Source organism: Homo sapiens, chromosome 5 (genome assembly GCF_000001405.40).
Source record: "Homo sapiens chromosome 5, GRCh38.p14 Primary Assembly".
NCBI classification, from domain to species: Eukaryota; Metazoa; Chordata; class Mammalia; order Primates; family Hominidae; genus Homo; species Homo sapiens.
Window position 1 is genome coordinate 6,968,661 of NC_000005.10, and position 15,179 is coordinate 6,983,839.

Here is a 15,179-nt window from a genome sequence, read left to right on the forward strand (position 1 = left end):
CAGAACTGAAGGAAATAGAGACACAAAAAACCCTTCAAAAAATCAATGAATCCAGGAGCTGGTTTTTTGAAAGGATCAACAAAATTGATAGACCACTAGCAAGACTAATAAAGAAAAAAAGAGAGAAGAATCAAATAGACACAATAAAAAATGATAAAGGGGATATCACCACCGATCCCACAGACATACAAACTACCATCAGAGAATACTACAAACACCTCTACGCAAATAAACTAGAAAATCTAGAAGAAATGGATACATTCCTCGACACATACACTCTCCCAAGACTAAACCAGGAAGAAGTTGAATCTCTGAATAGACCAATAACAGGATCTGAAATTGTGGCAATAATCAGTAGTTTACCAACCAAAAAGAGTCCAGGACCAGATGGATTCACAGCCGAATTCTACCAGAGGTACAAGGAGGAACTGGTACCATTCCTTCTGAAACTATTCCAATCAATAGAAAAAGAGGGAATCCTCCCTAACTCATTTTATGAGGCCAGCATCATTCTGATACCAAAGCCGGGCAGAGACACAACCAAAAAAGAGAATTTTAGACCAATATCCTTGATGAACATTGATGCAAAAATCCTCAATAAAATACTGGCAAACCGAATCCAGCAGCACATCAAAAAGCTTATCCACCATGATCAAGTGGGCTTCATCCCTGGTATGCAAGGCTGGTTCAATATACGCAAATCAATAAATGTAATCCAGCATATAAACAGAGCCAAAGACAAAAACCACATGATTATCTCAATAGATGCAGAAAAAGCCTTTGACAAAATTCAACAACCCTTCATGCTAAAAACTCTCAATAAATTAGGTATTGATGGGACGTATTTCAAAATAATAAGAGCTATCTATGACAAACCCACAGCCAATATCATACTGAATGGGCAAAAACTGGAAGCATTCCCTTTGAAAACTGGCACAAGACAGGGATGCCCTCTCTCACCGCTCCTATTCAACATAGTGTTGGAAGTTCTGGCCAGGGCAATCAGGCAGGAGAAGGAAATAAAGGGTATTCAATTAGGAAAAGAGGAAGTCAAATTGTCCCTGTTTGCAGACGACATGATTGTTTATCTAGAAAACCCCATTGTCTCAGCCCAAAATCTCCTTAAGCTGATAAGCAACTTCAGCAAAGTCTGAGGATACAAAATCAATGTACAAAAATCACAAGCATTCTTATACACCAACAACAGACAAACAGAGAGCCAAATCCTGAGTGAACTCCCATTCACAATTGCTTCAAAGAGAATAAAATACCTAGGAATCCAACTTACAAGGGATGTGAAGGACCTCTTCAAGAAGAACTACAAATCACTGCTCAAGGAAATAAAAGAGGATACAAACAAATGGAAGAACATTCCATGCTCATGGGTAGGAAGAATCAATATCGTGAAAATGGCCATACTGCCCAAGGTAATTTACACATTCAATGCCATCCCCATCAAGCTACCAATGACTTTCTTCACAGAATTGGAAAAAACTACTTTAAAGTTCATATGGAACCAAAAAAGAGCCCACATCGCCAAGTCAATCCTAAGCCAAAAGAACAAAGCTGGAGGCATCACACTACCTGACTTCAAACTATACTACAAGGCTACAGTAACCAAAACAGCATGGTACTGGTACCAAAACAGAGATATAGATCAATGGAAGAGAACAGAGCCCTCAGAAATAACGCCGCATATCTACAACTATCTGATCTTTGACAAACCTGAGAAAAACAAGCAATGGGGAAAGGATTCCCTATTTAATAAATGGTGCTGGGAAAACTGGCTAGCCATATGTAGAAAGCTGAAACTGGATCCCTTCCTTACACCTTATACAAAAATCAGTTCAAGATGGATTAAAGATTTAAACGTTAGACCTAAAACCATAAAAACCCTAGAAGAAAACCTAGGCATTACCATTCAGGACATAGGCGTGGGCAAGGACTTCATGTCCAAAACACCAAAAGCAATGGCAACAAAAGCCAAAATTGACAAATGGGATCTAATTAAACTAAAGAGCTTCTGCACAGCAAAAGAAACTACCATCAGAGTGAACAGGCAACCTACAACATGGGAGAAAATTTTCGCAACCTACTCATCTGACAAAGGGCTAATATCCAGAATCTACAATGAACTCAAACAAATTTACAAGAAAAAAACAAACAACCCCATCAAAAAGTGGGCGAAGGACATGAACAGGCACTTCTCAAAAGAAGACATTTATGCAGCCAAAAAACACATGAAAAAATGCTCATCATCACTGGCCATCAGAGAAATACAAATCAAAACCACTATGAGATATCATCTCACACCAGTTAGAATGGCAATCATTAAAAAGTCAGGAAACAACAGGTGCTGGAGAGGATGTGGAGAAATAGGAACACTTTTACACTGTTGGTGGGACTGTAAACTAGTTCAACCATTGTGGAAGTCAGTGTGGCGATTCCTCAGGGATCTAGAACTAGAAATACCATTTGACCCAGCCATCCCATTACTGGTTATATACCCAAAGGACTATAAATCATGCTGCTATAAAGACACATGCACACGGATGTTTATTGCGGCATTATTCACAATAGCAAAGACTTGGAACCAACCCAAATGTCCAACAATGATAGACTGGATTAAGAAAATGTGGCACATATACACCATGGAATACTATGCAGCCATAAAAAATGATGAGTTCATGTCCTTTGTAGGGACATGGATGAAATTGGAAACCATCATTCTCAGTAAACTATCGCAAGAAAAAAAAAAACCAAACACCGCATATTCTCACTCATAGGTGGAAATTGAACAATGAGATCACATGGACACAGGAAGGGGAATATCACATTCTGGGGACTGTGGTGGAGTGGGGGGAGGGGGGAAGGATAGCACTGGGAGATATACCTAATGCTAGATGACGAGTTAGTGGGTGCAGCGCACCAGCATGGCACATGTATACATATGTAACTAACCTGCACAATGTGCACATGTACCCTAAAACTTAAAGTATAATAAAAAAAAAAAAAAAGAAAAAAGAAAAATAAACAAGACCAGATGTTTCTTTCTCTCTTTACTTTGAGACTAGGTATTTCAACATTGGAATGGTTCAAATATAGTAAGTAAAATACAACGCTTGTAATAATAGTTTGTAAATAAATCTCTAATTGGCTGTCATGTAATTGACAAAGACATCTGCTTCTTGGCTGTTGTTGGTAGCATCAGTCTCACCATCTCTGTCCTGGTGGGTCTGTGTTTTATAAAGGCAAGCAGTGGTGCTGGGGCAGTTACGTTTCTGTTACCCCGTGATAGCCTGAAAAGAATGGAGCCACTGATATACGTATTCTCAAAACACTAAGAATGACACATAAACATTTATTTTTAATATTTGCAACTGAATAAGGCAACTTATAATTCAAAGCACTGTCAAACATTAAAATATAAAATTAGAAAGAATTCAGAATTCTGCTGTGGTAGAATTGCAATAACATGTTGTGCTCATGCCTGCTTCTAATATTGTTATCAGAGTTCAAGCCCAGCTCATTGGGCGTTATTGTTTCTATTGGATTCTAGATGAAGTAGAGCAATGAAGGAGCACTGGGCTTGGAATCAGCAGAACGGACCCAGTAGTGTGGCTGTGAAAAAGCCATTTCTCTCTAGATCCTCAGCAGGGAGAAGAAGAGAGGAGAGAGTAGGCCGTATGGCAGGCATGGGGACTATGGACATTTGGGCCACTTCTTTTGAACCACAAGTAATTGTGCCTTCAGGGCCTGCTTAAGCCCCATCCTATATATTTCACTTCTGTAAAGTGCATGCCAGCTTTCTGGCCTACTGGGCCACACACCGCTATGAGAAAAAGCGTGTTGTTGAAGAATTGAGAAAGCCCCTTCTGACTACACTGTACTTTGAGGTTTCTCTCTTGATAATGAAATAGGAAAAGAAAATTTTTATAAAGCCAGATGGTTTTAAATATTGAGTTCTACATGTTAAATAAATGATTTTTTTTTGTCAAAGCATGAAGTGAAAAGCTTTTTATATCAATATTTTAACAGTTTAATATTTATATTGGATAATTAGAACAGCTTGATTATTAACTTTAAAAACAGTAAATAGGACCTTAGATAATCAGTTTTTCAAAATAGCAATGTAGGTACTATTGGAATCTGTTTTAAAGTATGATATACTGGTAAAATCTTAGCCCATTAATATGAATACAAACACTATAGAAATAGCCCTGGAGGTTAAAGGCTGGGTGTCTGAATATCATATTGATCATTCCTGAAATCACCAGCCCTAAGTTTACAGCAACACTTTTTAGTCCCTATTATCTTAGCAAAATTTACATTGATTGGGGAAGAAAGAAAATTCTGTCAGTCCCTTTGCCATGCTCTCTGAAGAAGGGTACTTTTCTAAAGGAGCAAGATTTTACTTTTCAAAGCATTTTCCTTTATGAGACTTTCTTATTCTGCAGGTTTTGTTCTTTATATCCAGCAGAATTGAACCACTTACTATGTAATAAGCCCTTACATGTGACATACCTGTCACGTCACTTACCATGTTTCCATGACTATCATTGTTGTCATTTTACACCAGTAGAAAGTGAAAATTGGTGAGGCTCAGAAATTAAGGCACAAAGAAAGTCAGTGGCAAAGGTGGGATTTGACTTCAGAGCCCAAGCCCCTCTCACTTGCTACCTCTCTCTCTCTTCTCCCCTCAACAGCCCTTAATGAAAAAGCAGAGTAGAATAGCAAAATATCAAAACAAGTTATTTATGAATTCATTACCAGACCAAAGATCAAAAATACTGCCAATAAAATGTACCATGAATTCTGCATGATGCATTCAAATTTGCTAAAGTGAGCAGGTAAGATTAACACCAGGTAATATATATTGTCTCTTCCAACTGGAATTCTCTATGATTCAATTAAAAACGCATGCATGTTGACAAGTGATGGGATTACAAGGATGAGACATACGAAGTAAATGCCAGATGTCTCCATTTCACAGACGAGAAAGCTAAGGCCTTGTGTGGATAGGTGACTTACCTAAGGCCATATAACTGGTTCAATAGTGAAAAACCCAGATCCCCGTCTATTTTTTGGCTCTGCCAGGCTGCTTGCTTCTTGCCATGGGTGCAGAAGCCCGTGTGTTTTGCCTTGGCAGGCTGGGAAGAATGCTGCGCTAATCCTTCTCACTGCTTCAGCGTTGGTGCTGCTTCTACCCTTGCTGTAATTTAAGACCTAAGTATTTTATTATTAGCTTAATTTTCATATCCTTTTGGATTTCATGTTTTGCAACGTGGCCTATATTCTGAAAGGCAAAAATGTTTTTAGGGATGCTCGGCTGATTAATATCTTTGTTCTGGTCCTTTGTTAAAATTCATCTTCCTTTCAAGTGACTAAAACATTTAACTCAAAGCAGGGACATAGCTGGACTTTCTGGGGTGACTGGGGACTGAAATGGTGGAGGTGAGAGGAAGTGTGGAGATACAGAGGTGGACTCAAGTCTGTGCTGTGACTCTTCTTTTCCTTACTGCTTCTGAGTTTTACCAGCACCTTTAAGTCAGGTGTTGCCCCAACTTACCAAAGAACCGAAGTTCAGAAAGCTTCTCAGATGATTTCATTTATTAGTTTATTTACTCACTTGATTTTATCCATCAATCTATCCATCCTCCAATAAGCATCTACTTAGCAGTTACTATGTGTTAAGCTGGTGTCCAGTCCTTATTTTTCCTCGATAATGAGAAATACCTGGGACCCACGCTACAATCCCCGTGCTTTGACTATTCTAAGTATGGTCCCTGCAACAGTACGGATGCCACTTGGGAGTTTATTAGGGATGAAGACTCGCAGGCTGCCCCCTGGACCTACCAAAGAAGAACCTATGTTTTAACAAAACCCCTCTTCCACCTAGGGATTTGAATTACATCAGCATTGACAAAGCACAGTCCTGGAGATCCTCGTCATCAGAGAAGCTTGGGACATGCTTTTGGGCATTGTGTTGGAGGGTTTTGATGCCCAGAGAAGTGTAAAGTATTTTCTTTGCCCACAAGATGCTCACCTTAAAGTCTCAAGGACTTTGCTTCTCAAAGTGACCTCCAAGGACTGTTAGTTGAAGACCACATAAGTTTAAATTCAAGAGTGCCCCAACTCTGTCATTAAGCCCCTGACTCTGAATTCAGGCATTCACCCTTCTTTCAGCCTCATCAAACTCTGCTTTTGTTTCATGTTGTCCACCTCTCATGGGGCCTTTTGTGACAACATGTTCAGTGCATTAGTCCATTTTCGCATTGCTATAAAGAAATGCCTGAGATGGGGTAATTTATAAAAAGAGAAATGTAATTGGCTCACAATTCCGCAGGCTGTACAGGAAGGATGATGAGGCTGGCATCTGCTCAGCTTCTGGGGAGGCTTCAGGAATCAAACAATCAAGGTGGAAGGCAAAGGGGGAGCCAGACGTCTCACATGGCTGGAGTAGGAGAAAGAGAGGGAGGGAGGAGGTGCCACACACTTTTAAACAACCAGATCTCCTGAGAATTCACTATCATGACAACAGTTCCAAGGGAATGGTGTTTCTCAAGGGAACCATGAGAAACTGCCCGCATGATCCAATCACCTCCCACCAAGCCCCACCTCCAATATTGGTGACTATAATTCAACATAAGATTTGGGTGGGGAGACAGATCCAAACCATATCATTCTAACCCTGTCCCCTCCCAAATCTAATGTCCTTCTCACATTGAAAAATACAAAGATCCCCTCTCAACAGTTGCCCAAAGTCTTAAATCATTCCAGCATTAACTCAAAAACCCAAAGTCCAAAGTCTTATCTGAGATAAGGCAAGGTCCTTCCACATATAAGCGTGTAAAATCACTTGTTTTTGATTTCGCATGCTCATAGGTGGAAGTATCTTGTTACTTCCAAGATACAGTGGGAGTATAGGCATTGGGTGAATACTCCCATTCCAAAAGGGAGAAATCAGCCAATATAAAGGGGCCACAGGCTCCATACAAGTCTGAAACCCAGTGGGGCAGTCATTACATCTTAAAGCTCCAAAGTAATCCAGATCCCAGAATGGTAGCTCCGCTGGCAGCTTGCACCATGCACCTGGAAGAGCTGCAGGTACCCAACACCAGCTCATGAGGGCAGCTGGGGGGGCTGAACCCCACCAAGTCACAGGGGTGGAGCTGTCCAAGGCTTTGAGAGCCCGCCCCTTGTACCAGCGTGCCCTGGATGTGGGACATGGAGACAAAGGAGATTATTTTGGAGCTTTAAGGTTTAATGACTTCCCTTAGTCTAGGTTTCAGACTTATGTGGGGCCTGTAGCCCCTTTCTTTTGGCTGATTTCTCCCTTTTGGAATGGGAGTGTTTACCCAATGCCTCCACTGTATCTTGGAAGTAACTAACTTGTTTTTGATTTTACAGGCTCTTGGTGGAAGGGACTTACGTTGTCTTAGATGAGGCTTTGGACTTTCGAGTTAGTGCTGGAGTGAGTTAAGACTTTGGGCGACTGTTGAGAAGGACTGACTGTATTTTTCAATGTGAGAAGGACATGAGATTTGGAAGGGGCTGGGGTGGAATGGTATGGTTTGGATCTGTGTCCCCACCCAAATCTCATGTTGACTTTAATCCCCAGTGTTGGAGGTGGAACTTGGTGGGAAGTGATTGGATCAAGGGGGTGGTTTCTCAGGGTTTAGCACCATCCCCTTGGAACTGTCATTGTGATAGTGAGTTCTCATGAGATCTGGTTGTTTAAAAGTGTATAGCAGCTCCCTGCTCTCTCTCTTCCTCCTGCTCCAGCCGTGTGAGACATTTCGCTCCCCCTTTGCCTTCTACCATAATTGTTCATTTTCTGAGGCCTCTCCAGAAGCTGAAAAGATGCCAGCATCATGCTTCCTGTGCAGCCTGCAGAGCTGTGAGGCAACTAAACCTATTTTCTTTATGAATTAACCCATCTCAGGTATTTCTTTATGGCAATGCAAGAATGGACTAATACATTAAGAATATCATAGAGGATATTGAATTAAGTGACAAATGCAGTTTTTGCAACAGCTATTTCTTCCAAAGTTTGGCAGTACATTATCGTAGTCTTTAGGGAATACCAACAGGAGAAAATGAATAATGTATATGTAAATTACTGTCTATCTCTCTATTTATGAATCTATGTATGTTAGTTGAGGAGATCCCTGAACTCTACAACAGGCTAAATCAGTAACATAAATAACATTTTGTAAGGTATACTCTGGATGTGAATTTGTGTGTGTGTGTGTTGGGAGAAAAAGGTAATATTTATTTAAATAATTTTGGAAAGAGGCTTTCTGCTAATTTTATACAAAACACCAAAACACCAATGGTACTTCTCTGTGAAACTTCACATAAGCAAGAAAATGAAATGCAAATATTGACAAATGTCTTTTGGAGAAGGCAGTAACTACACTGAATTAAATATAACCTGTTAAATTAAACAAGTGACTCTGACATACTTTTCTTTGGATAGCTAAGTCTTGATTAATATTCATAGATCCATACTGCTAGGGTACACACATATGTTTTCCAGACTCTGGCCTTTCTTCAACGACTAACACCTTCATTTTTATGACTTTTTTTTTTAGTCTAAAGCACAATGCGTCATATATCTGAGAGGAAACCAAAGCCCAGACAGGATAGGTGGCTCAGCTAAGGTCACAGACCTAGCATGTATCAGAGCTGGGATTTCCATTCAGAGCTTCTGTGACTTATCTAAATATTTATCTTTATTGATCATGTTGGAGATGCTGGCAATGAATTTGAGTTCCAAAATGCCACTTAGTCATGCTTTCTGTTTTTAGAATATGGAGGTTGTTTTACTCACCTTGAGACACATATTACCAAAAGTGAACCCTGTGCAGAAATCAATTAGAAAAGCATTCTATTGATTGCAAGGTACTGAAACAAAAAGGCTGTGTCTCAGTGTGGGCTCTCTCCCCAGCCTCTGCATCTCCACCTCTGTGGCTTCCTTAGATGTTAGAATTGGGTTATGCAGAAGTCATTCAGTTTTGCTCAAATGAAACCCTGGGAATTCTTGAAAATGAGCTCATATGAATGAAAGAATTATTCCTATTTGACATACCCTAATGAACCACATCTGTGATGTTCCAGAAATGAAAATAATCACTCATTATCTGCTTGTTCTAAATAAATGTTTGTTTGAAGTGGCTCTAAATTGGGAAGTTTTCATTGTCAGATACCCACTTCATGAGGCAGTGTGTGAAACCCAGCCCCCCTCAGGGCTATGCATGGAATGGGGGACAGTTGGCCTGCAGGGAATGTTCCCCCTCACCACACAGGTGGCAGCTGGTGGACTCTGGCAGTTGAGTTCCCGAGCGAATGCACTTCATTTTCAAAGTAAACTCCCAATGTCAGCTGCAGTTTCTTAGCCCTTTGGGGTGAGATAATTTGTCTTGAATCTCCTGACCCACTCCATTATTATGCCCGAGCAACTGTACAGTCTGTGGGAGGCCAAGCTGCCTAAGAAATTTCCATGCATTTCCAGGGAACTTGGCAGGATTGACGTCTTTTTGACCTCACAAAGTTGTCTTCTTCATGCACACCATCTGTTCGTAGTGGTCTCAGCCCTTCAATAGGGAATTTCTCCGCCTTCTTTACCTTCTAATAACTCTTGAGTTGTTCTCTTCCTTGGTTTATAATTTCCCCAGCTCTGCAATTGTTGCTCTAATGTTCCCTTTCCCCCCGGCATCATGTCTTCCTGGATGCAGCGTCTTCCCTTTTCTTTTTGAGACTATTAGGGTGTGTGGTTTTTTTTGGTTATAGACATTGAGTCATGTCAGTTCCTTTAGAGTTCCTATTGTTGTTGTTGTTCTTGTTGTTGTTGTTTTTTCTCTCAAATTTTCTTTGTCATGGTCTTGTCCTTACACGTTAGAGAGTTTCTCCAGGTAACCAGTGATGCTTGGCTGGTCTGCTTTTATGTGAAAGGGAGTTAGTGGGTAGACATCTGAGAAGCACTATGCCTGGGAATGCCTTTCTGACCGGGGGCTGCCTGCAGTTGGTCTCAATGGGGACTTCACTGTTTTGTTGGAGAATCCACAGTATCTGTCTCTGGGTCTTTTGTCTTGAGCTGGTCTGTTGTCCCAGGAGAAATTTGCCATCTTCTCCTGCCTGGGGTATAAACTGGCTGCTACAGGCTCTGGGTCAGAACTGGGTGCAGAGACATCAACTTGCAGTCTCTAGACCTGTGCTGTCCAACACAGCAGCCCCTGACCATATGTAGCTATTTACAATGGAATTCATTAAAATAATTAAAATAAAAATTAATTCCTCAGTTGTGTTAGCCATATTTTAAGAGCCACAGGCCAGAGTTAGCTCTTGAATAATTAGCCAGGTCAGATATAGAACATTTTCATAACCTTCGAAGGTTCATTTGAGGAGTGCTGTTTCAGACTTTTGCTTTACATTCAGGAAGGCAACCTGCCCTTGGCTGGGCCTAGTGCCTTGAGATTAGAATCTCTCCCATTCAGCCACTCCAGAAAGAAAACTGCATTTTTAGGTTGGAGTGGAGGTGGAGGCTCTGTGTCTCCCACCTATGCTATCAGATGCTTCTCTGTAGGTGATGACTGTGTTGCTGGATCTGCCTCACTGTGTGACATGACACCACTGTCCCCTGCTCTCCCCTCAGTATGCACTTAATTTACACTTTCTCCATTGTGCTAAATCAGTTACCTCCTGCCCACCTGCTCTCCAGCTCTCAACATTTTGTTGACATCTTTCACTCATGGCTTTCTTCCCTTTTGTTTGTTTTGTCTTTGTGGTTTTATAAGGGTTTCTTCTTTTCTTTTTTTCTTTTTATCCCTTTAGTCTGCTATAGCAGGGCTTAGAAGGAACTAGAGCTTGTAGTGTATGTTCTACCCACTATGTTTGAACTGGAAGGATTGTCACTTCTTATTATCTGTATCAGAGGCCTTAGGCAAGGAAATAAACTCTAAGGAATCTTTTGCCTCCAGCAAAAGAGGGCATAATTATCACGACTTGCAGCTGAATCTGGTGTTGGCCAGAGACGTGCAATAAGTACCACAACTGGTGAGCAGAGCCGAATGAGCCTAAGGCCCTCATTCCTGCCTCCTAGTTTAGGTGGCAACTGCTTCATACAGTCATGTGGTTGAACCTGGTTCCAAATGCTCAGATGGAAGGAAGGTTCCCATGGTTGTATGACATCTTAGTCTTGCTAAACTTTCTCCTTTTATTAAAGATGTACTTCTTTAAGACACAAGCAGTTACTGAGAGTCAAATCCTGGTTCTAGTAGCATATCACAAGAACTAACACTACCCTAGTACTCATCCATCCATCTGTCCATCCATCCAACTGTGCATCCATCCATCCATCCAGCCAGCCAGCCAGCCAGCCAGCCCCAGCCAGCTATCCATTCATCTATCTATCCATCCACCCATTCGTCTATCCATCCATCCATCCATGCATCCATTCTTCTATTCAATAAACATTTATTTAGCAGGGTAGGTGCCTGACCTTGGTTCACAAAATAACAAAAGCACTGATAATAGTATGTTTATTTTTAAATGACTAATAATTTACAAATAAAAATAGTTTATTTTCTCATATATTTTCACCAATTCTCTGTATTTTTTAATGAAATTAATGAATACCATCAAGATAGGGCTTAGACATAAAAATTAGATTAACCAAAATTCTGAAATCATGGGCAACTGGATGAATGTCCTTTTTTTCGGTACTTTTCTGCTGTTTGTGACCCTCGCTCTCTCTATCTGTTCCTTCCTCCCACTGCTGACTGCATTCATTGTCTAGCCTTCTGTTCTTCCCAGGCTTATTCTCTCGCTGTCTTTCCGTGAAGTGTCTGGAAGGTGGTAGGTAACTCTTTCTTTGACCTGCACAGATTGAATAGTGGCTCCAGAGGACTCACTCTACTAGTGTGTCCAGCTTTATGTGGAAGAGCCCTGAGTCTGTAGACAGGTTATATTCTGACAGGTATCAGAGGTAAACGGTCCACTCCTTCCATTAACCCTCAATGCTAGGAACCACCTAATTCTCCAGGCTCTTCACTATATTAGCTCATCCCCCTCTACTTTTAATTGCCTTTTTTAGGCCTTGTATCTCCTCTGGTTGCATCACAAGTCTTGCCTTCTTTTCACGATCTACCTCATAGCATGACCACATTATCTATTCTCCACTTCTTTCCCCCGCAAGCCTGCCCTTGCCCCCTCAACCTACTAATCCTGCATGCTTCAGCAGCTACCACCGAGTCTGATGGCCTTCCCAGAGCCTGCTTTCTGACCCCTCACCAGTCTTCAACCTGACTGACCATTCTTTCTTTGGTGCTCACGTCCCCTTTATATTCTATAATTCTAGCTTCTTTCCTTAACTTTCTCTTGCTGCTCCTTTCCAAGGACTGCCTCTGTCTAAGATTCAGATTTATCCCTGTTTTTCTTTCCATAGTCTTTACCTGGAGGACTCAACACTACACAGGTGACTCCCAAATCAATTTCCAGTCCTTACTTCCATCCCCACTCTAGTCCATCCAGGGCATTTGCAGTGATTCGCCTATTATCTCAACATCAATGCCTTCGAGTTTGAGTTCAGGTTCTTTTCAGATGCTTCTCATTCCGATTTCCCGAATCCCCTTATTGTTACCATTTTCTCCGCCTCTCCAGTGAACGCTGTTATTTTTGACTTTCTCAGCTCACACAGTGTGTCCCATCATGAAGCCCTATTACCTTCTTCCATTTTCTCTTTCCTTCCAACTTTCTCTCAGTGCAGGTCATTATAACCTCACACTGGTACAATGGCTGTCAAATTAAAAGCTTTTTACCCCACCCTGTGACATATGCTGACATAGCCTAACCTTCCTAAAGTGATGCTTTATTAGGTCATTATTCAGCTTTACAGTGTTTAAGATTTCCCTACTGTCTTTTCAGATCAAGGTCAAGTTCCTGTGCTTGGTGCTCAAGGCTTTCCATCACCCAGTGTGGCCTGTCTTTATAGTCCCACATTTCTCTAGAAGGTCCTTGCCTCTGCTACGCCACCTTCTAAAGTTGTTCTGTGTTGTCCTAAGCCTCTGACTTTACTAATCCTCTTCACCCTTCCTAATGAGAATTTCCCCTCCAAATCTTATTCCATATGAACCCCACCTCTCCACAGCCAGCCCATTTCTGAAAGCTCAATTCAGACAAAACGGGGTGTGTTCAGGGTGGTATGGCTGTAGACCTCAAGACTCAATTCAGTTCACAGCCAGCCCATTTCTCAAGGCTCAATTCAGACAAGACCGGGTGTGTTCAGGATGGTATGGCTGCAGACCTCAAGGCTCAATTCAGTTCTCCCCGGGTGTGTTCAGGGTGGTATGACTGCAGACCTCAAGACTCAATTCAATTCACAGCCAGCCCATTTCTCAAGGCTCAATTCAGACAAGACCGGGTGTGTTCAGGATGGTATGGCTGCAGACCTCAAGGCTCAATTCAATTCTCCCTGGGCGTGTTCAGGGTGGTATGGCTGCAGACCTCCAGACTCAATTCAATTCTCCTTAAACCTGAAATTCTTCCCAGTGTTCTCCAGCCCACTATAGCCACTTCCTCCCCTAAATTCAGAATGCACATTTCTTCATCCTCCTCTGTATTACTTTTGTCCCTCTTCGTTTCTCCTCTGCTCTCTTTGTTGGTATGCACTCTTTGATTCTGAATTTCTATTTGCCAAGGGAACATGTTCTAGATTTGAAATCCTAGGACTAGAAAGAAAAAGAAAAATTTATATATCTGTGCTTGTCCTCAGACAGGTATTTATTGGCAGCTTTGGGCAGCACCAAATGAATCAAGTATACCAAGCAATCAAACAACCAATAACTTTTTCACTTTATCTAAAATACAGCTAGAAAAACCTTAGTGGGAACAAATGGTGAAGGTTCAGGGCTGCTATCTTTTAAATTTTACTATTCTCTTTGGTATGTGACTAAATATAAAAACGATGGCAAGATTAAATCAAGTTGAAGACCAATAAAGTAAACATGAATCTTGCAGGTTGGCCCAAATCTAACAACTGATTTGGCATTTTAATAAAATTTATCAAATTGAATTGCTTTCCCTAAGAAACCAATGTCTAAATATTTGTTTTGTCTGAATTTTTTTTATACTGATTATGAACAAATGTTGTGGCTAAATGACTAATGGCCTTTTTTGTTATTCTGTTTGAAGTGCTTTGTTCTTTATAGGTACCAGCAAAATAGGTGCCTATGGAATTTGATATTAACTTCCGTTTTTAACCTTGTTAGGCTTTCCTGGTTTGGGTAGGAAATTAATCATTAGTAGTATTTGCATAAGCAATGCTAAAAACTTCTTTGGCTTCTCAGAAAACTGAAATATTTAGTTCTTTGGAATTCACAGGCTCTTTCCTGCTGGGGAGTTACCCTGGGCCACCTGTTCCCCTCCTTCGCGCAATTTTCGTGTTTCTCTAATTTGATGCATTTCACTGGCAACTCCTGTGGACTGAAGAATGAAGGACATTCTGTTAAAAATCTTATGATTTTTTTTCCTCAAGACTTAAGTGTGAAAGGGGAAAAAAATAACTAAAAGAGGACTTAGGTGTATTTACAGCTTTTCAAGGACTTCCTTCCTTGCCTACAACCAACTGGCTCTTGGATGCATGATAAAAAAAGACATGACAAGTCAGCGATTTTTAAGTTGGTCAAGATAAAGTTCCCTGAAAAGAAAACTGGAAGTGAGTTAGTACAAAGAGACAAAATGAAAACATGCTGGACTTCATGTAAAGACCAGAAGACCCAGTGCAGCATAGCTGCCCTTGTCTCCTATTGATAACCCTGTGACATTATGCTGCGCTGGGCCACGTCTCTGTCCAGCCCCTTAGCCAAGAATTGGTTTTAGCAAAATGAAGCCCATCAGATTCAGCCTTGAATTGCATATTCCTTTTTGTGAGCATCTATATGGGGCTGTGTTTTGCCACATTTCTTTTGCCTAAAGTTGCCATGCTCTGTCTTGCAAAAAGGACTCTTATGGATTTTAGCTTACTTTCGGGTAGTGTTGAGTGGTCATAATAAAAATAACGTTTGACAACAGGCAGGTTACATAACTCCACTTTTTTTCCTGCCACAATTAATAGCTCTAATACTGCCAGAGAGTGCTGTTCAAAATGAATATTCAAGTTGGAGTCCTTTACTTGCTTT